This window comes from Homo sapiens, chromosome 17, assembly GCF_000001405.40.
Source record: "Homo sapiens chromosome 17, GRCh38.p14 Primary Assembly".
In the NCBI taxonomy this organism is placed as follows: Eukaryota; Metazoa; Chordata; class Mammalia; order Primates; family Hominidae; genus Homo; species Homo sapiens.
In genome coordinates this window covers 33,445,181-33,468,586 of record NC_000017.11, presented here as the reverse complement: position 1 = coordinate 33,468,586, position 23,406 = coordinate 33,445,181, and the positions used below count along the sequence as shown (strand labels likewise).

General features: G+C 42.0%; 1 protein-coding gene across 1 annotated transcript in view, besides 2 other annotated features; it reads left to right on the top strand.

Moving 5' to 3' along the window:
• The window catches only part of ASIC2 (acid sensing ion channel subunit 2), a 1,143,682-nt gene that overhangs the window by 688,182 nt on the left and 432,094 nt on the right, over positions 1-23,406 (top strand). The window lies entirely within an intron of this gene.
• Positions 9,413-9,462: an enhancer, noted in NCBI's record as "active region_12040". NCBI's record gives its function as "activates an Ori minimal core promoter by ATAC-STARR-seq in GM12878 lymphoblastoid cells {active_cell/tissue: GM12878}" and the evidence as "EXISTENCE:reporter gene assay evidence [ECO:0000049][PMID:35858748]".
• Positions 15,358-16,103: an enhancer, noted in NCBI's record as "OCT4-NANOG hESC enhancer chr17:31779502-31780247 (GRCh37/hg19 assembly coordinates)". NCBI's record gives its function as "activates a minimal SCP1, AML or CMV promoter by ChIP-STARR-seq in naive H9 embryonic stem cells {active_cell/tissue: H9 hESC(naive)}" and the evidence as "EXISTENCE:reporter gene assay evidence [ECO:0000049][PMID:30033119]".

The following is a 23,406-nucleotide window of genomic DNA, read 5'->3' as shown; positions in this document are numbered from 1 at the left end:
TTATAAAGCATCCTGGAAAAAAAGTATCATGAAATTACTATATTATTGTTCTGAAGCAGAGAGAAATATAATTTTTCTTTTATTAAATTGTGTTTTAGAAGTATATAATACGGTTAAAATGTTTTCAAATCAAAGGAACCAAAACAAAATGTTTTTATGCTTAAAGGAGCTAATTTTTATTTAATCTGGAAGATTAATCCTTTTCAGAATCTTCATCCCTGGATACACTGCTTATTAATATCTTCTTCCATCTAGAATACAGAGGGGAGAACATGGAGATGGTCTTTGCCTCCTCAACCACCGCCATCATCTCCCATTTCCATTGTGCTTTGATGGCTGATTTATTTACTCATTTGGCCAATAATATTCTGGAAACTTGGAATCCATCGTGGCTGGGGAGTGGAATAGAGGGTACAGCTATTTATGAGTTCCTCTGCTTCTCTCCAGTAGTGTCTCTGTCATTCATATCTTTGAGTCTTCAGTCTTGAGAACCAAGGAAGAGCCATCTGATATGTCTAGAAGCCTGCTGGTCTGAGCATCTTAGTCCTGGATGAGATCTGTCCAGCTCTCTGGCCCAGTCTCCCCACCACTGAGGGCATATAACTGTCAATGAAAAGGGTCAAATGCTGTAAAATATTTGAAGAGATTTATTCTGAGCCAAATATGAGTGACCATGGCCAATGCACAGCCCTCAGGGGATCCTGAGAACATGTGTCCAAGGTGGTCAGGCCGCAACTTGGTCTTTTACATTTTAGACATCAGTCAATATATGTAAGATGTGCATTGGTTTTGTCTGGAAATGTGGGACAGTTGGAAGGTGGGGGATCTGCTTCCAGGTCATAGGTAGATTCAGAGATTTCTGATTGGCAATTGATTGAGATAATTAAGTTATTCTCTAAAGACTTAGAATCAAGAGAAAGAAATATCTGGGTTAAGATAAGGGGTTGTGGAGACCAAGGTTTTATCATGCAGGTGAAGCCCCCAGGTAGCAAGGGCTTCAGAGAGAATAGATTATAAATGTTTCCTATCAGACATAAAGAGTCTGTTCTAGCAATAATTCTAAAAGGGAGGAGGGTATAATGAGGCCTCTCCTACCTCCTCCTTCCCATCATAGCCTGAACTAGTTTTTCAGGTTAACTTTGGAATGCCCTTTTCCAAGAGGAGGGATCCATTCAGATGGTTGGGGGACTTAGAATTTTATTTTTGGTTTACATAACCTACCCCAAGACAGCTCATAATTTTCTCAGCTTTTAAAGCCTTTGAGAAAATAAACTTCATATTTCTTCACTTTGATAATTGTCTCTGAATTCACCCATATTTTTAAACTTAAAAAAAAATATTTTCAAGGCCAGGCACAGTGGCTTATGCCTGTAATCCCAACACTTTGGGAGGCAGAGGCAGGCAAATCGCTTGAGCTCAGGAGTTTGAGACCAGCCTGGTCAACATGGCAAAACCCTGTATCTACTAAAAATACAATCTACCCTTTGTCAGATAGGTAGATTGCAAAAATTTTCTCCCATTCTGTAGGTTGCCTGTTCACTCTGATGGTAGTTTCTTTTGCCGTGCAGAAGCACTTTAGTTTAATCAGATCCCATTTGTCTATTTTGGATTTTGTTGCCATTGCTTTTTGTGTTTTAGTCATGAAGTCCTTGCCCATGCCTATGTCTTGAATGGTATTGCCTAGGTTTTCTTCTAGGGTTTTTATGGTTTTAGGTCTAACATTTATGTCTTTAATCCATCATGAATTAATTTTTGTATAAGGTGTAAGGAAGGGATCCAGTTTCAGCTTTCTACACATGGCTAGCCTTTTCTCAGAACCATTTATTAAATGGGGAATCCTTTCCCCATTTCTTATTCTTGTCAGGTTTGTCAAAGATCAGATCATTGTAGATGTGTGGCGTTATTTCTGAGGCCTCTGTTTTGTTCCATTGGTCTATATCTCTGTTTTGGTACCAGTACCATGCTGTTTTGGTTACTGTAGCCTTGTAGTATAGTTTCAAGTCAGGTAGTGTGATGCCTCCAGCTTTGTTCTTTTTCCATAAGATTGTCTTGGCAGTGTGGGCTCTTTTTTGGTTCCATATGAACTTGAAAGTAGGTTTTTTTTTCCCAATTCTGTGGAGAAAGTCATTGGTGGCTTGACGGGGATGGCATCGAATCTATAAATTACCTTGGGCAGTATGGCCATTTTCACTACATTGATTCTTCCAATCCATGAGCATGGAATGTTCTTCCATTTGTTTGTGTCCTTTTTTATTTCGTTGAGCAGTGGTTTGTAGTTCTCCTTGAAGAGGTCCTTCACATACCTTGTTAAGTTGGATTCCTAGGTATTTTATTTCCTTTGTAGCAATTGCGAATGGGAGTTCACTCATGATTTGGCTCTCTGTTTGTCTGTTATTGGTGTATAAGAATGCTTGTGATTTTTGCACACTGATTTTGTATCCTGAGACTTTGCTGAAGTTGCTTATCAGCTTAAGGAGATTTTAATTTTAAAAAATATTTTTAAGCATTCTTTTAAAAATACAATCCAGTTAGTGCAAATAATCCATATCCTACTTAAATCTCCCATCCCAGAATCCCAGTGCCCTGATATCAAGAAGTTCTTTTCTAAGTCTGACTACACTCTCTCTGGCTTTATCCTGAGGAAACTTTCTCAAGCTGGTCCTTACAGTTTTTAAGACTTGAATCCAACAGCTACCAAGAAAAATACTCTGGTAGAGAACTTTTCTACACATCTCCACATAAGTTGGGCACAAAAGATGGGAGAAAGCTGGAGGACCAAAAATCAGGAATCTCCCTGTGTGGCTAGGCATTAATCTCTTCCCCTCTCCAGATTCCAAATCATTCATTCTTCAAGGAAAAGGGGCAGACCTTTCCTGTTCTGAATAAGTTACCTATCATCAAAGCCCACACTCAGGCCAGGCGTGGTGGCTCATGTCTGTAATCCCAACACTTTGGGAGGCCAAGGTGGGTGGATCACCCGAGGTCAGGAGTTCAAGACCAGCCTGGCCAACATGGTGAAACTCTGTATCTACTAAAAATACAAAATTCACCTGGGTGTGGTGGCATGCGCCTGTAATCCCAGCTACTAGGGAGGCTGAGGCAGGAGAATCGGCTTGAACCCGGCAGGCGGAGGTTGTAGTGAGCCAAGATCATGCCACTGTACTCCAGCCTGGGAGACAGAGTGAGACTCCATCTCAAAAAAAAAAAAAAAAAAGAAAAAGAAAAAAAAGGCCCACACTCAAAGATCTTCTACTCATTTCACTAACTTACCTGAAGGGACTTAAGAATGTATTTTCAGCCCAAGGAACAATTTTCCTGTTGAACAATTAGGAAACTTCAGCATTTGGAGGAAAGCATTAGAAACCAGCCTGGTGTATTATTGCTCTAACAATCCCTTAAGCTCCTAACAAAAACAGCCAGGGGAAGCTAGAAGCCAGCATGAAATATGGCCCACTCATTTTCTTAACAGTCTGCTTCCTGAAGTTATCCAGGAACTGTCAGCTCCTCCTGGAGCTCTGCATAAAGAATAGAGCAATTTCCTGCCTTTTATCCTGGTGTCTTATGCCCCAGACATTATCTTAATGGAATTCCATAGTATTTTTGTATTCAAATGGACTTGAAGGCAAACAAAACATTTAAAGGGAAAATGTTCTTCCTAAGCAGAAAAAAAAGTGCCTTGTTGGTACTTGTAAACTGTGAAAAGTCCTGAGTCAAGGACTCCTATGACTCAGGGGGGCCTAGAGATGCTATGGTGAGATTTGTCCAAATGCTTATGGGGCTGTCTGAGCATTCAGTATAAAGTTCCAGGTATCCAGGTAATGAGCTCAGTAGGAGGGTTAATTTCCAGGCACTTATTTGATAATGTTATATACATATATATACATATATATATATATATAGAGAGAGAGAGAGAGAGGGAGAGAGAGAGAAGGAAGAAAGGAAGAAATAAAAAGAAAAGAAAAAGGAAAGAAAAAAGAAAGGAAGAAAGAGAGAAAGAAAGAGATAAAGAGAGAAAGAGAGAAAAGAAAGAAAGAAAGAAAGAAAGAGAAAGAAAGAAAGAAAGAAAGAAAGAAAGAAAGAAAGAAAGAAAGAAAGAAAGAAAGAGAGAAAAGAAAGAAAGAAAGAAAGAGAAAAAGAGGCATGTGTAGAATGATGTAGAAGTCTGGAATTAAGGAGGAGTGTCTTTTAATTGAAATTTCTTATTCTGATGTCTTCCTCAAATGCCAGTCAACCAGCTTTCCAATTTGGTTCACACACTATATTATCCAAATCCCTGCACACTCCCTCCAACCAAGGGAGCCTGGGACTAGTGAGAGGCTTCATAGAATCCAGCCAGAAATAGGGAGCACCTCAGCTAAGAAACCAGAAGCCACTGAGCAGGCAGGGTCAAGAGCTAGCTAAAGACCTGTTGGCAAACAAAGGATACAAAGAGGAAAGGCAGGTCTCAGACTCTTAGGACTGGGAAAATGAGCAATGACAGGCAACAGGGCAGTGGACCACACATGCTGTGGTGTGATATGTGAAGATGAATAATGGAATGCCACATGCATCCAGAATTTCAAAACTGGATTGTTTTGTGATTAGGTGTTCAGATGCCACTCATAAGGGTATGCAACCAATGTGTCAGCTGAGCTTTCTGAGGATTCATTCATGTTACAAACCCTTCCCAAGCCCCTCCTATGTGCCAGGTGCTGTACTAGTTTCTGGAGACATGAAGATACATAATTCACTTTGAAGGAGGGAGAGACACATTCTCAAATAAAACAGTACAGTATGAGCAGTGGTATCACAGAGGCATGCACTGCAGCTGGGGGCAGAGGAGAGAGAGATCGACTGGGCTGGGAGCCCCAGGCCATCCAGGACTTAGGGACACTAATCATAGGAGGGCAGGAGTCTGAGAGTCTATCTAGTTCCACAGATGATTTCCCATGACTCCCGCAGTTGTTTCCTTTTTGGTCCATAAGGGCTGGGGCTCACGCAGGCAGATTGCATGGAGTAGGGAATCCCCTGGAGATGCTACCTTACCTGCCCCATTGCCTGTAGATATATTCTGGGGGAGACACAGCCAACTGCCTTCTAATTCACTGACTGACAGACATTGGAAATATTGGAGGGTAGTGAAGTCCTTGGCAGTCTTCATTCTCTAATATTTAGTCCAAAGAGTAGTTTTTAGATGTGATCTTGGTCATGTGACAAAGAGGAAGAAGAAGGAGAAGGAGAATCATCATGATGCATTAAGACAGTTATATAGCTCCAACTATAAAGCACGCCAGAAACTTCCTCTGGGGATGATGCCAACAGAGCACTGAGTGAGAACCAATGCAGAAAGACAGATACTGGGTCAAACTAACCTACTCCATTGGTTTAAGTTGAACAGGAGGACTGAGGGTAATACTGGGACCAATGGCAGGCTCTAAAAATATGTACCAAATGAAGATGCCATTAGAAAGGATCCACAATCTGAGACTATAATTCAAAAGGAGTGAGTGGGATACAACTTCAAGAGTACTGCGTCTTAGAAAATCTCAGAAATAAGAACAGGAATGTATCTTTGAATTGGAGAAGATGATATATAGCTTTACCAAGGGCAGTGGCAAGCCCAAGGGGAAGAGATCCGCAGGAAGTAAGTGGGAGGGACAGGTGGCCCAAATCATAGGCTGAGAACAAAGCTCCATCACCTCTCTCATCACTATAAATGACTCTGTCTCCAAACATCTAGCCGCAAAGTAGAAACCTAATAGAAGGCCTAGCAGGGAAACACTAACTACATATCATATGGGCATTCACTGGGGCTCAAAGTTCTCACCAGAATTCAATGTTTCATTTACCTCCAGATCCTTCTGAATATCAAAGTAGGGTGACCACCAACTACTTATAGATCATACTTACCAAAAGGGAGGGGACACTGTAATATCTTATCTGATTGTATTTCTCAGCAAATATGAGCCTGAAGGTGGTCAGCTATTTTGTAAAGGTACAGGTTAAGCTGCTGTTACAAAGTGGCACCCACATACGGCAGCTGCAGTGAGACATGGGTGGAAGGTCTAGGGCTGGTAGGTGCCTCTGCTCCACAGAGTCATCCTGGGGCCCCATTTCCTTGTATCTTACGTCTCTTTCATCCCCTAGGGTATTATCCACATAGTCAGAGTCAGATCACCTCCACCTTATCCACATAGGAACAAGGAAGCAGAGAACAAAATACCTTTGTGAAAAATATAATCAAACATCTCTTCCACTCATATCCTGTTTTGACTAGAATTTAGTCCCATGGCTACATCTAGATGTAAAAGAGGCTGGAAAATGGATCTTTGGTCACTGGGCCCAGCTAAAACCTTGTAGGTTCTATTACCAGAAGGAAGAAAGAGGACAGGTACCAGGGAGTAATTAGTATCTGCCACAGTGATTCACAGCAGTTAATCCCAATTGTCACCTTTGCTAGGAAGGCTTTTCTGGTTCCCAAAGCCTGGCCCCTCTTCTCTGCTTCTGTGACACCCTGTGATTAACTCTGTCAAAATGCTTACCTGAATATCATGAAATACGCGGTCTCTCTTCCACTAAAGTACAAGCTCCAGGGGAAGCAAATACGTGTTTTTTCATCTTTGTATCCCCAGTGCCTGACACAGTGGCACATGTAGGTACTCAATAAAGTTTTGTTAGATGAATGGCTAGGCGGATGGATCAATAGATGGTTCAGTTGCAAAGTGAATGGAACTGGGGCATACCTGGTACAGCCTCAAGGTTTTCTGATTTGATTTATAAAAATTACCCTTTAATATCTAGTCATGTGTGTGTGCTTATTCAAACAGATAAGCCAATGACTGCTTGATGTGGAAGGGGTAGAGAATGGCTGTGGAGGGGGTGGGTATTACCCCTGTAGATACATAAACACACCCTTCTCATGTACTTAACAAGAGATTCTAGAGTGGTAGCATTTGGAAAGCTTAGGTATCAGTCAGGACCCTCTTAGAACATTGATGCTATGATGACTTGTTCACTGCTTGTCATTATGCGCCCTTTTTCATTGCTCTCTAAGTGCCCCTGATCATGCCAGGCAGCTCCCATCTCAAATCTTTCCACCATATCACACAGCAAGTAGAGCTTGGACAGCACCAAGAAGCAGGGCCCTGGGGAATATCAAAGTGTAAGGAGATTGAGTGTGAAGATCTGGAGGGCTCCCTGCATGGAGAATTTGGAGAATATGCCCAAGAATGTGCCTGCATGATAGAATTGACCAGAGGATAGAGAAGGGCAATGGGAAAACATTCCACAGCTCTGCGCTCCCCCAGGACCTGGGCAAGACCAGTATGTCACAGGGTGAATAAGGTTTCAAAACTTTTATCTAAACGTAAAGGAATGTTAAGTGTTCATTCCTTCAAAATCTAATCCCACTGAGTGCTTCCTTGGGTGGGTGAACTTTGCATTTGAGACTATTGTAGAAAAGCAGGTGCTGAGGAGCAGGTGGAAGTGGGTTGGTTACATTTCTTATATAGAGCTAGGGAGATGCACATTACAGAAACCAGAGTGTCAGATGTGGAGGAGGAGGCGAGATGATTTGTGACTGCAACAGACTATTATCATCTGGGCAAAGGAGATGGAATTGAGAAAAGCTGAAAAGCTCTGGGCAATGAAATTGGCTGGATGGTTGATAGTTCCCAGTGGGAAGAGTCATTGGCTCTGTTTCTGGAAATCGTAGAGTTGTAGAATACTACAGTTGCACAGGATGGTGAGAAATCTGATGTCAGATTGAATCCTGGCTCTGCCACTTAACTTATTCTGTGACTTAGAAAATTACTTAATCTCTCTGTGGCTCAGTTTTCTCACCTGTAAAATGGATTTATAACAGTATGCACCTCACTGGGTCATCTGAGGGCTTAAACAAGTCATAACATATAAGCTCATGCCTGACACATGCTCTCTGTAAATATTAGCTCCTACAGAATCTGTCATTTTGAAACAGAAAGCATTCCTTTGTTGATGAGACTAAATAATCTTTGGCCATTAGTTTTCCCCATTTCTGTGGTGGATAGGATTATGCAAACTTCCCTTTGCAACCCAGAGAGAAACTGGCCTCACTTACGGCTTCTTCCAGAAGTTCACTTTGTCATGGCAGAGCCAGCCCTTGTTCTCTCTATTCTGGCCTCCTTTGTGTGCCAGGCTCATCCTCAGGATGTCCCTCATCCTCAGGATACAAATAAAGGGCCGCACTAATTCCCACCTCCCAGCTTCCTTGTATGCCATCTACCAGCTCCTGCCTGTGAGAATGGCAGCCCATCCACCCCATCCCCTTCTTGGCACCTTGTGTCTCATTTGCTCAAATTGTGTCACATGCCTGGAAACAGGACATACTAATCAGCTCAAGCCAATCTAACCCATCCCTAGAATTAAGAGTGGGGTCAATACCCGAAGCTAATCCTAGCAGGAGATTGTTCCTCCAAAGCAAATCTGGACACCGAGGTCAGGATAAAGGAAGAAATAGATGTGTTGGAGGCAAGCAAAAATGTCTGCTATAGAGCATAAACTACTAGCTAGTTTGTCAAACACACAAATCTGAGTAAAATCCTGAAAGAGAGTGAAAAGTCTGGGTTTTTTTTTTAACCATTTCACAATCCCAAGAAGATTATGGGGTCATAACAGATTTAACTACAAACCAAGGACTAAATGAACTTGGTGCCACCTAATTAATATCCTTAACACTCTAAAGAAGAGGCGCTCCATTCACTAGAGACAATCACTTCTGGCAATTGCCCCACAATGTGGTCTGAGCTCAGCCTGGAAAGGGCAAGGGGAAACCACCTAGAGAGACCACACTGGAGGGCCAGCTGCTGCTCCTGGGCTGGCAGGGACAGATACCTCATCCCCACAGGCACGGCCAGCCCTGCCAACATTCTCCCCTGCACTGACGAAGGGGTGTTCCCACCCCGACAGAACAGCTTAATATGTAGAAATATGAATTCACCACCGCTTACTTCCTGCAAGGAGGGATATTGCTGGGAGCCAATATCCTTTTATCTCTCTTTGCCTCGATGCTTTCAGCTTCTCGCCCTGCTCCAGCAATGAGCCTCTCGTTATGCAGAGCTACTTGCATTTCCCTTCAGAAAATAAAACTAAGACAAAGAAAGGAAACGTATTTAGCTTTAATGATGTGTGTGGTTTCATTTTTCTGTTTGAATGTATTGCTGTTTAATGAGGTAAATATCCATTGGATGAATTAGATACATTGATCCTGCACGCGTCTCCTGGGAGGCAGCCTCTCAGGGACAAGATGTGCCTTGAACACAGTACTCGGCAACCACACAGCCTGACAAACAGGCCAGATACTCAGCAAGAGCACAGACCGACCCCGTCGTGGACAGGTAGCAGGTGATGAATCACTCACTGCTGCCCCCATGGCTAGCCAAGCAGGCAACAGACTTAGCACAGACGAAACCATGTGACGATGATCAAAACTCTTGAGTAATGGTGGGGCCTCTGGGTCATTAAAAAAAACAGAAAACACAAAAAACAAAAAAACGAAGGTAATGCGGTCACCAGAATTGACAGTTTGTTTTAGTATTTCAACCAGAAGAGCCCCGTTGTCTATATCTATTGACAACGTGGAGGTTTTCCAGTAATGAGACCATCAGTCTTGATAATATTATCAGCTCCAAGAAGGTTCAGTCGGACAGAAACCCTGTGCAGCATAGCTTGGCACCCCTGAATTACTCTAGTTCTTCATTTTACTAGAAATGAAGGAAAAGAAAATTAAAGATATTATGTTCTTATACTTCCTCACCAAAGAAGTCATTTGGACCATTTTAGACTGGAAGAGATCATAGAAATTATTATTCAATCTCTTCATTAATAGATTAGGATTCTGAAGCCCAGATAGAGAAAGTCATATGGCCAACCAGTACTTGAACCATGACCAATAATCATTTTATGAGTGCTTGTTTTGTGCTAGGGACTGTTCTAACTGCTTTATAAACATTCATCTATTTGCAGCTCCCAACAACCCATTATGCAGAGGAGGAAACTGAGGCACAGAGGTGTTAACTATGGCCAAAATCATACAGTCAGAAAGTGATAGAGATGGGATTCAAACCCAACGGTCCAACTTCAGAGCCCATTATGGTTCTGGCCTTTCACTAAAACCCAACTCTCCTGGCTCCCCAGTCAAACATGTGAAAAAACTCCAAACATAAAAGTTTTAAAAATCTTTCCCTACAGATCCTGGAATAAATTACTTGAGTTACCCAAACAAGTAGTATGAGGCTCCCTAGCCTTTGTGCTGCATCTCACAAGTTCATCCTCCAATGATCCTCAATCTACTCTGACCTCTCTTGACTCTAAAGCTCTTGGCAAGACCTCTCTCCTCCTACCACACCTCTTAGTTTCTTAGTTTCTTGTTCCCCAACCACACCTAGAGATTCGAGGCTTCTTTCTATCTATCAGGCTGTTTCCTCCGTCTGGAACCCCTTCCACTCCATAACCTGCCATTGATCTACTACTTATCCTTAAGACCTAGCCCCAAAGACGCCTCAGCTATGACGACTTCAGCAATCACCCCTGTCAGAATCAGAATCCCCTTCCCCCACAGCACTTTGTTCCTCTACCACAGCATTTATGTGATTATTTCCTCCATTGTAACTGGAAATGGAAGGGTAGTGCAGTGTAGCAGCTGGGTGCAAGGTCTTTGACCAGAATCAGACCTGAGTATGAGATCTAACTCTGCTGCCAGGAATTATGTGGCATTGAGCAAATTGCTTAACTCTCTGAGCCTCCTTTTCTTCATCCATAAGAGAATAACATGACTGATCTCAAAAGGCTCCAGTAAGAATTAAATAAGACAATGCATGCAAAGCCCTTGGCCAGCACCTGTCTTGTAGTAAGCTGTCTATACATCTTAGCTATTAGTGTTGAGGTGTTGACGTCACCACCACCACCATTGCCATCATCATCATCAGCAGCAGCAGCAGCAGCATCATTAGTGTATACTAATACTACTACCTTTATAGACTAAACTCCTAGAGGGCAGGGACTTTGTCTTGTTCATTTTTATGCCTGGCCTTTAGTATGTTCTTAATAAGTGGATATAGAATTGAATTGTTGAAGCAGTTGTTCAATTGGCAATTTATTATTTTGGCTCTGGTGATAAATTGTCTTGAAATCATTTGCCTAGTCGCTTGCCACCCAATTAGGTTTTGAGCTCCACAGAAGTTGATATTTCTCTCTACAGATCATACACTCAGTAAATAGACTCAATACTTAGAAAAGTATTTGATGAATGCTTAACTTCTCAAACTTCTCAAAGTTCATAGGATTCTCAAGATGTACATTCATCTTTTGTAAAAAAAAAAAAAAGAAAAACAAAAAAGGCTAAATTTACAAAGGAAAAGAAAGTAACATTTATTGAACACCTAAAAATAGCTAACATTTATTAAGTTCTTACTTCATGCCAGGCACTGTGCTAAGTACTTTATATACTCCTGTGTAATAATCATCAAGCCAATTTATTAGATATGATTCATTCTTCTCATATTACAGTTAAGAAAACTGAAGCTTAAAGAAATTAATTAGCTTGTGCAGGATTACAGCTACTATGCAGGGAGCCCAGGATTGAAGCCCATCCTCTTCTGACTCCAGAAGAAAGTATCTGGCTCTGAGCTAAGCAATTTAGACACTTTGCCACATTTAGGACTGCCTTTCAATCTGACAGTTGTTGAGTACTCGTACTATCCCCATTTTACAGATGAGGCAACTCAGGCCTGTTTATATCACAAAGTCAATCAATGCTAAGGCTGGGCTTTGAAAGGACGTTTGTCTGACTCTATCTAAAGCCCTCTCCGTTTTTCTACAATACTCCAGTGCTGGAACTATAACTCTGGTGCCCTGAATGGTGCTCACTCCAGCTCTTACCTTCTCCACACACAACAAACGCTCCTTACTCTAGCAACCATCACCTGCTAAGCACCTGGCAGATGCCCCACCCACCACATAGTTAAAAGAGAAGGAATCATTCCAAATAGACACATCTCCACACAATGAAAACCCAGTGGAGAAAAGACATGCCATCAGAAAGATGTATCAGTAGTCACTACCCAGTAGCTGGTGCAGCCTTGAATTATCACTGAAGGATGAGCTCCGAGGGTTGTCATTATGAGCAGATTTTGCAATCTGGGAATAGACTGAAGGGGGGATGGGGATAGTGCATGATGGGAAATAGCAGCATCCTGGGGGCTATTTGGGAGGAAGTGGGGAGGGAAGATAGGCTAAGAGATATTGGGGGCTGGTCTGTTTTATAAGCCCCAGGAAGACAATAAAGGGGGTAGGAAACAGAACAATAATGAAGCCAAAGACCCTGGGGTGGGAAGTGCCACCAAACTCAGCAAAGCCTGGGAAATCAATCTGCAAAATGAAAGAAGCAGAGAAGAGCACCAAAAATAACCTTCAAGGTAATGGATGAGGCAGAGGAGAAAAATCAATTCAAGGAAAACATATTAAGCGCAGAAAAACTAAATGAGAGCTGGGGGTTGGGGGGAGTTGGGATAGAGAGCCCTGGACCGGAAGCCTGGAGGGCTGAGTTCCTCATCCAGCTTAGCTGCTAACAAACTCTGTGACTCTGGGTGGGGCACCTCACCTCTCTGAGCTGTCCTGGCTCCTCTTAAAAATGACACCATTGGACAACACGGCCTGTAAAGCCCCCTCCTGCTCTGTCAGTCGGTGATAAGGAACTGTGCAAAGTCTTTGATTCGCATAGTTCTAAGCAATTATATGCAAGTAGGGACATCATCAGGACATCATCTAGTCAGTCCTTCAGATATTCCCGGCTATCTGGGGCTTTTGAGATGTAAATGAAACCCCATTTACCTGTATTTCACTGTTCTTTAGCCTTTGGGATAGTTCTGAAATTGATGATGAAGAAAACTCACAGGCATAAGTTAGCAACCATCAAAGAAGCTATTTGGAAGCAGTGCTGATAACATATCTAAAAAGGTGCACACTAGGTGCCCATCAATGATGGAACTGGATAAAGTAAATGTGTTGCATATTCACCATGGAATATTATGCAGCCATAAAAAGATAGCAAAATCATGTCCTTTGCAGCAACGTGGATGCAGCTGGAGGTTATTATCCCAGGTAAATTAACAAAGAAACAGTAAGCCAAATATTGCATGTTCTCCTTTATAAGTGGGAGCTAAATGTTGGGCACTCATGGATGTAAAGACTGGAACAATAGACACGGGACTACTGGAGGGAGAGAAAGGGAGGAGTGCAAGGGTTGAAAAACTAACTATTGGATACTATGCAGAACCTGGGTGAGGGGATCATTCACACCCCAAATTTCAGCATCATGCAATATAACCAGGTAAGAAACCTGCAAATGTGCTCCCTGAGTCTAAAATAAAAGTTGGAAAAATGACAAAATAATAATAAATTACACAATTATAAAGAAAAAAATAAAGGTGGCACAGTGCTATCCTGTAAGACACATTAGGATACCTGTATACAACAAAAGCCTCCTCTCCAAAGAGGGCTTATGAGTTAGAGGGATACCTCGGGACACCTCAGACACAGGATCTGTGTATATCGCTGCTATTGTTTGAATGTATGTGTTCCTCCAAAATTCGTATGTTGGAATTCAATACCCAATTAGATAGTATTAGAAGGTGAGACCTTTAAGGAAGTGATTAAGTCATGAGCACTACCACCTTAGTGAATGGGATTAGTGCTTTTAGAAAAGAGGTTGCAGGGAGTGCCTGAGCCCTGCTTTTGCCCCTCTGTTCCTTCCACCATGTGAGGAAACAATAACACAGAGCCATCTTGGAAGCTGAGATCCCTCACCAGACACCAAATCTGCTGGTGCCTTGATCTTGGAATTCTCAGCCTCCAGAACTGTGGGCAACACATTTCTATTGTGTATAAATTATGCAGCCTAAGGTATGTTGTTATAGCAGCAGGAATGGACTGAGACAATTGCTATATTTATGTGCTGTCTAAGATTTTTAAAGAATAACAGAATAAAGCCTCTCTTAGCCAAAGGTTATTTGCCTACAAACCACAATTGTTAAGAAGATAACCTAGAACTTACAAACAAAGCAGTTAAGAAAGTACACATAGCAGAAAGGGAATTTGGAAGTACTGGGTGCCTACAATGGGCATGATGTTTTATGTGCATCTCAAATGTCAGCCTGCCTCCACAAAGTCTGTCTGGGAGTAAAGGGTCTTTGCCTCATAGCTGTTTCTGAGTTGAGTCCTTGGTGTAACTGCTTCTCTGGGCTATTTCTGGTTCTGCTATAGACCACCGTCCACTGTACTACTGGTCACCACACAGATCAACATAGTGGACAGTGAACAAGGGGCAGGCCACACTGCCTCTTCCTGTCTCTTTACTTCCCACAACACCACTGTGTAAGACTGGATGGCTGTGTTGGTCTTTACAGAGGCTGGGGACAAGTAAAAGAAATGTCACCATGAGAGAAAAGGAAATGCTTAAGACTGTATACTTCAGCATATGAGCACTTGTAGGCAAATGCACATCACAGATTTCTTTGGAATAGCCAACAACAGTAAATAACAAAAATGTCCAACAGGTGAATGGGTAAACAAACTATGTTACAACCATATAGGAAAAATAAAAGGAATGACCTATTGATTCATGCAGCAATATAAATGAACTTCAGAATAATTACCTCGAGTGAAAGAAGACAGACCAAAAAAAGCATACACTGTATGATGCCATTTATATAAAATTCTAGAAAATGCAAACTAATCCACAGTGACAGGAAGCAGATCGGTGGCTGTCTGGGTATGGCATGGGGAGAGAGATGAATTACAAAGGAGCAAAGAAACAAAGTAAATTTGGGGAGATGATGGATATTATTTTGATTGTGGCGCTGGTCCCACAGGTATGTAGATAGGTCAAACATATTAAGTCGTACCCTTAAAAATACACAGCTAATTATAAAACAATTATTCCTCAATAAAGCTGATTTTTAAAACCATACATAATCTATGATTGTCCTCATAAACCAAGGGGAAAATATAAAATTGTAAAACCTTCATGGGAGTTGAGGGTGTTCTTGCAGGTACACACTCTGCCCTCTTTTCCTCTGAGAACATCTTCCGCTTCACATCCCTTCATGGCCTCCCTGCCTCTTTTCAAAAAGCTTCCCCCATCTGTAAGAGGTTTCTGGCTCTAGAGTCCATCACCCTCCCTTAGAAAAATATGTAGGAGAGGAATATTTCCCAACGTATAAAAGATTATGGAAAAGTAAGACCATAGACTCAGAATGTAAAATCAGTTTCTTTTTTTTTTTTTTTTTCACCTGCTTTGTAGAAAGGAAGAGGAGTGTCCCCAGCCATGGTCTGGGAAGCACCCATACCCCAGCTCCCCAATACATCCAAAAACACAGGCTTTCTCTAATACACAAATATAATCTCAGACCCCACAAACATGTACACATACTGTGAGAATTGCAGAGGAGGAAGGGAAGACCATGTGATATTCAGCAAGGAAGGAAGGCAGAACTCATAGGCATAAGTTAGCAACCTTCGGAGAGGCTGTTTGAAAGGGTGCTAACAACATTCATTCGAAAGGAATCTCAGTGCCTGTGCGGAAAAACACTAAGGCCCTGTCATTTCATGAGTCTTTACCTTTCTTGTGCTAAATACTGGCATGTAGAGCAGTTTGATTCGGAGGAGCTTCATTAACAAAGAGCCTGATGGCTTTGACAAAAGTTTCAGCTGGGTTCCAGCCCTGCAAGACTGAGCCCCTGACAAGTACACCCTGCACATAAACCTTTGTTTCTTCCTTGCTTTTTAAAGGCTATCACACACACACACACACACACACACACACACACACACACCCCACTCTGTTCCAAACAAAGAAAACATCAATCTTTAGAGACAGTAGCATCTAAATCCTAACTCCACCATCATTGGCACAGAATAGAGGTCGTGCATGGCATCATTATGCAAAGCACTAAAAAGTCCACTTTGTTCCCATTCTGTCGTCAGACTATGTCGTGGGCCCAGGAAGCACATGAGAAACAGTGACTGTCTACCCACTAACAACTACCTCTCAGCTGCTACTCAAAGGCAAGACTGAGGCTGTGATAATAAGCTTCCCTTTTCCATTGCTTTCAAGCAGGTCAAATTTTAGGGGAAGGTGGAGGCATGAGGCCTAAGCACTCCTGACTATGCTGCCAGGCAAAGAGGTGATGGAAAGAAAGCCAAAGCTATCTGATTTAAGCCTCCCAAAAGCCCTTTGAGATAGATATTACCATACCCATCTTGCAGATTTGGAAACTGAGGTTCAAAGAGGCCAAGAGCAACCAAGGCCAGGGCCAGAGCCAGCATCAAGATCTGCATGACAGCCAAGTTTAGGTTCCTTCCTTTAGTCTCCACCACCTCTAAGCAGGTAGAAGGTAGACAATCCGAATACTAACAGGCAGATACTCACCTTAGGTTGGCAGTCAGTGCTTTTTTGCTTTTAATTTACATGCAGCTCTAACTTGGTATTCCAAGTTTTCATTTCACAGCAGATTAAAATCTGCTCAGTGGAGGTGATGCATTAATTCATTCATGTATTTACTTATCTGGTGAATGTGTACTGCGTGCATATCATGTAACTAACTGAGAATAGGTTCTGAGGATACAGCAATGAGAAATACCATCAAAGTCCCTACCATCATAGACATATAAGGGAGAATAGTAGTCAACAAATGTGCACACAAATTACTTAGCGGTTATAATTATGAAAAGTACAAACAAGGAAAAACGTAGGGTGCTATGGGGTATAGAACAAACTAGGTCAGGTCCTGATGAAAGAGACTAAGGAGAGAAGCCAATACACCATTGAGGATATGCCACTGAGGATGTTAAGCAAGGACTGATATGATTGGGTGTGTTTCAAACTTATAACTAGTTATTCTGAATAAAAGTGGATGAAAGAGAGGGCATAAGGGATGTAGTGAGAAGGCAACTGCAATGGTTGAAAAAAGAAATATAATTCACAGGACTGGATAGTTGGTTTTGTGTCACGGGAAGAGGAAGATGGAGACATCAAGAACAACTTCCGGTGTCTGGCAAAAGCAACAGGTTTGTAACAGCGCTGACTACTGAGATGGGGAGCCTGGAAAAGAGGATTTCAGGGAGGAAGGGGTCATAGAAGGTCAAACTTTTGGCGTGTTAAGGCAAAAAGTTAACTGGTGAGTCATTGAGAAAGGTATTCAAGAGTTCATTGTACAGCCGGGTACGGTAGCTCATGCCTGTAAATCCCAGCACTTTGGGAGGCCGAGACAGGCAGATCATTTGAGGTCAGGAGTTAGAGACCAGCCTGGGCAACATGAAAAATACAAAACTTTGTAAAAATACAAAAATTAGCCAGGTGTAGTGGTGGGTGCCTGTAATCCCAGCTACTCGGGTGGCTGAAGCAGGAGAATCCCATGATCTCAGGAGGCAGAGGTTGCAGTGAGCTGAGACTGCACCACTGCACTCCAGCCTGGGCGACAGAGTGAGACTCCATCTCAGAAAAAAAAAAAAGTACATGTACGCCTCTGACAAATTTTCTACAAGTTTGAGTTTTCCAAAATACAAAAATATACATTTGGAGCATATTAATTTTGAGATCCCTATGGTAAGACAGCTAAGAGAACATGTCAGGATAGCAGTTGGATATGTTGGCATGGAGCTCTGCCCAGAAGGCTGTGTGGCAGTCCCTGTATACATATACATCTGCATACAGATGTACAGAAACTGTGAAAGCTGATGAGATTGCCCAGGGACAGTGATGACTGAGGGGTACATTATATCAGTACATAATTATTTCCACATCTAGACACAATTACTCCCCACCCCTGCCACAGAGGAAGACAAAGTCATGGAGGCAGTCTCTTTCTGTGCATCCCTCTTGATTACAAGGTTTTATTGTAACAAAATATATGACATAAAATTTACTATCTCAACTAATTTAACTCTACAGTTCAATAGTATTAAGTACACTCATATTGTTTATTGTTGTGCAACCATCACCACCATCCATCTCCAGAATTTTTTCATCTTTCTGTGCACCTCTTTCAGGAACAGAGAAAAGTATCCCAGAATCCCCCAGAATAAGACTTCCCCTCAGTTAGCCATCGGCCACCACTGGATTACATGACCACCCCTAAACCAATCAGTGAAAAGTGGAAAGAGAACAACCATGACAGGCTCAGGCAAGTCAGGCTTTACTGAAAGTAGGCTCACCTCCCATGAGGGAGGTTATACCTAAATAAAACCAGAAAGAAGAGGAAAATGCATTCTGGGTAAGAAAATAATAGTGTCTGCATACTACCATTTTACAACAATGGTTCCTCACTTAATGTTGTATTTTCTGCATGTATACGGAGCGTGCCTAAACATAAGTTCCAGTGTCTTCAAAACAGGTACATAGTTACTTGCCACAATTTATTAAACTAGCCTTTTGTTTTGGATGTTTCTACCATTTTTAAGTTTGAGCTTATTCAGTAATGCTGCAATAAAAGTTATTTTGTGATGGCCGGGTGTGGTGGGATCACGCCTGTAATCCCAGCAGTTTGGGAGGCTGAGGCAGGAGGATCACTTGAGGTCAGGAGTTTGAGACCAGCCTGGCCAACATAGTGAAACCCCATCTCTACTAAAAATACAAAAATTAGTTGGTGTGGTGGCACATGCCTGTAACCCTATCTACTTGGGAAGCAGGAGAATCACTTGAACCTGGGAAGCAGAGGTTAGAGTGAGCCAAGATTGTGCCACTGCACTTCAGCCCGGATGACAGAGTGAGACTCTGTCTCAATTAAAAAAAAAAAAGAAAAGAAAAAAGAAAATTATTCTGTGAATCCTTTGTGTAGCTTTGGAACCCAGGTGTGAAATTCCTGAGTCAAAGGATAAGAAGGTCTATAACGCTTTATGTATAGGAAATTTTCCATTAGAATAAGCAATCCTGATTTTTTTATACTAAAGGGTGGTTTTCAGTTACCTAGAACATTAATTCACATGGAGCACTATATTTCCCTGGGAAGTTGATAGAGGGGTTTGCTTTGAGAACATTTGTGTCCAGGTATTTGCAACAGGTATGCTGAACAGGAATGAGGTCCCTTGAGGCACCTGGGCCAAAAGTATGCTACCCAGAGGACAAGAAGCAAACAGGTGATAATGACATCTTGATGGAGAAGCTACAGAGAAGAGAGAATGGAAAAATACAGGAAAGGTAGCAGGTAGCTACAGCCCACAAGGCTGCAGATCTTGACTGCCAGAGAGTAGGTCTTAATCCCTGACTGGCAAAAATGTCTAAGGCTAGAGGGGAGGAAGGAAGCAGCTGGTTCTGGGGAGATAATGATGAGACCAAGCTCAGGAAGCCATCAATCTCTTCCTCATCTTGCTACACTGGGGCTTAGACATAGATACAGTGATAGTTTCCCTGTTATTCTCAACCTCAAAGGGTCTGTGGCAGAAAGGGCCAGGCAGGATGGAGGAGAAAAATAGTGGCATTCTGTTTATAAAACAGTTTCCTATTCATCATCTCATGTAATCCACCAAATGGTACCCTTGGGCAGATATTATTATTTCATTTTACAGGAGTGAAAACTGAGGTCCTAAGAGGTAAATTCTTCAAGACCATGCTATAACTAAGAGGCAGCACCAAGAATTGACACAAGTCTCCTGATCTGTGTTCTTTTGACTAGGTTCAAAGTTTTCCCTACAGAGGATCCATTCATTCAATAACCATTTATCGCACACCTAGTCCATTCTGCATCTATGCAAGGTACTGGGATGAAAACGGATGGCCCCTACTCTTATTAGTGTCCTATAGCCTCTATAGTCAATTACCACAAATTTAGTGGCTTAAACAACAGAAATATAGTATTTCACAGTTCTGGAGGCCAGAAGTCTGAAGCCTGTTTCAGTGGGTGAAGTCAAGGTGTCACAGGACTCACAGGACCATATCCCTCCAGGGGCTATAGGGAAAAATACATTCTTTGCTTCTTCCAACTTCTGGCAGCTGCCAGCACCCCTTGGCTTGTAGCCACATCACTCCAGTATCTGCCTCCATCCTCACATTGTCCTCTCCTCTGAGTGCGTAATCTCCCTCTGCCTCTCTCTTATAAGGACACTTATGATGGAATCTAAGACACATAGGGCCAATCCAGGATAATTTCCTTATCTCGAGATCCTTAATTTATTCATATATGCAAAATCTTTCCCATATAAAGTAACATTCAAGGTTCCAAGGATTAGGACCTGATATATCTGGGGACTCCATTCAGCCCACTAAACAGCCGTCAAGTATTCACATTCTAATGAAGGTAGCAGTGGCCAGATGAGCAATTGAAATATAATGGAGCCCAGCCACAGCCTGATTAGCCAAAAAATGGCATTTGGCAGTAAAAATTAAAAATAAAGGAAACATAAAGAGACGTAGGAGGCAAGAGTCAGAGAGGACAAATGCCTGGTTTCTCCACAGTAACCTAACTCCCGATTCTAGTTTTATTTTATTTTATTTTATTTTATTTTATTTTATTTTATTTTATTTTATTATGCATAAAGATGTACATGCTTTCAGGGTACATGTGATAATATAAAACATTCATATAATTAGTGAAGATCAAATCAGTATACTTGGGATATTCATTGCCTTAAATATTTGTCTTTTCTTTTTTTTTTTTTTTTTTTTGAGACTGAGTCTTGCTCTGTCGCCCAGGCTAGTTGTCTTTTCTTTATGCTAGAAACATTTGAATTATTCTCTTCTAGCTATTTTGAAGTGTAAAATAGATTATTGTAAGCTATAGTCACCCTACTGATTCATCTCTGATTCTAGTTTATCCTTGGCAAGTATCTCAGTCCTCTGATTCTACAAGATATATCAGTTATCCTTTCAGTAACTGACTCCCTAACCTCTTTTGTATCTCTCTTGAAGCTATCCAGAATCAGTTTCTGTAATTTTCAACTAAAAGAGAACTAGCTAATCACACCCAGTGTTCTAGGCCTGACTCTGAAAGATCCTGCTTTACACTTTCACAGCTGGGTCTATTGCTTTCCTCTCCCTTGCTAAGCCTCACTCATCTCTCAGCCTTCCTTAGAGAAGGCCTAGCCCCTCTCATTATAAGATCTGATCACTCACTCATACCTGTAGTGTTTTAGTTCCCATCTCCTGACATATCTGTTTCTGACAGTACTTCAACAAACAATTATCCTCATAAGAACACCCCCTTTGACAGGCCCCCTTGGCTTCTCCTCCTGATTAGTGGTATCTCTAGGCAGGTCACCTGGGACACACTTGCCACCAGAGACAGACTCTGGCTCTGCTTTTCTTCAGATGCATTTAGCCTTAATCTTTCTGGCCATCAGGTCCGGCCACCCACCTCAACCCCCACTACCGTTCAATTGCAGACAACTACATGTAATCAACATTTCCCGGATCCCGGGCACTCATGTACCAGGACCTAAACTCACGAAGGCAGGCAGAAAATAAACAGGGATCACAGCTCATTCTGTGGCTAATCCAACTGCAAACACCATAAATTTGTTTAGCTGTTATTCTCAGGCTCAAAGCGTCTGCAGCAGGAAGGGCCAGGCAGGATGGGGGTGAAAAATAGTGACGTTCAGTTTATAAAACACTTTTCTATCCATTATCTCATTTAATCTACCAAATGATATCTTAGGCAGATAATTATTGTTTCATCTTACAGGAGTGAAAACTGAGGTACTAAGAGGTAAAGCGAATTCTTCAAGACCATGCCACGACTAAGAGGCAGCGCCAAGAATTGACACAGGTCTACTGATTTGTGTTCTTTTGACTAGGTTCAAAGATTTCCCTTCCAGAGGATTCATTCATTTATTGCACACCTAGTCCATTCTGGGTCTGTGCAAGGTACTGGGATGAAAAGACATGGTTCCTACCTGTAGGAACCTATAGCCTCTATAGTCAATAACAGGATGGGTAGGAGAGTGTTTTATAAACAGAACGTCACTACTTTTCTTCTCCACGTGGGAGAAGATGATGCTTCTGTTCCCCTGCACCTGGAGATTGAAACCTATCGCACTGAGAAGTCCTGCAGGAAGATTACAGATGCTTTCAGCGTGGTAGTTGATAATCCACGTTGAACATTCTGATTTCAGCCGGCCAGTGACCTTCTCTCAAATTTAGCTAATGGCCTGAGGATTCTTGTATCTTTGCTATAGAAATGAGCCACAGAGGCTGGAAATTCCAGACTCTAAGTTATAACTCTTACCCAAATTTTAGTTTCATGTCAACCACTAAATTATCCCTGCTATTGTAACAGGGATTACTATGTTCAGATTCTTAAAGAGAAAAGAAATAATTCATAAGATCAAAATTCAGATGATGCTTTTCTCCACCAGGGATGTTCTTGGGAAGAAAAATAGCTTTCTCACACCATTTATTTGCTACTGGTCAACATGCCTACTTCCACGGGGCTGGGGTAAGTTCAGTTTCTTAAGAGTTCCCTCGTCCCATCCATCTCTTTCAGCGGTGTGGTAGACATGGTCTCCTACTCCATCTTCCAGTCAAGGAAAAAAGTCCCTATGGAAATGGTACTTCACAGACTTGGCCACATAAAAGGTGTACATAAGGTGACAGTTGTCCACAAGCAGAGAGGGTCTAAATAGGTGGTTTAGGAAGTCAAAGTGGGTGTTCTGCAAACAGGAATAGTATATGTTTGTTGCTGCATAGTTTGCAACATGATTTCACATACAGTAGTTTTGTTTGAACCACAACTCCAAATGACAGAATAGATCATCTGATCCCCATTTTTTTTTTTTTTTTTTTGAGATGGAGTTTCGCTCTTGTTGCCCAGACTGGAGTCCAATGGTGTGATCTTGGCTCACCACAACCTGCGCCTCCTGAGTTCAAGCGATTCTCCTGCCTCAGCCTCTCGAGTAGCTGGGATTACAGGCATGAGCCGCCACGCCCAGCTAATTTTGTATTTTTAGTAGAGATGGGGTTTCTCCATGTTGGTCAGGCTGGTCTTGAACTTCCGATCTCAGGGGATCCACCTGATCCCTATTTTATAGTGACCTTGTGCCCACAGAGAACCAATGGCTTGTACTGAGTGCCACTGCTGGTATGTAGCAGATCAGTCTTGTTCCCATATCTTCTGATTTTATTTTAATTTATTTTAATTTATTTTATTTTAGAGACAGAGTCTCGTTCTGTCACCCAGGCTGGAGTGCAGTGGCATGATCTCAGCTCACTGCAACATCTGCCTCCCAGGTTCAAGCAATTATTGTGCCTTAGCCTCCCAAGTATTTGGAATTACAAACTTGTGCCACCACGCCCAGTTAATTTTTTTTGTATTTTTAGTAGAGACAGGGTTTTGCCATGTTGGCCAGGCTGGTCTCGAACTCCTGACCTCAAATGATCAGACGCCTTGGCCTCCCAAAGTG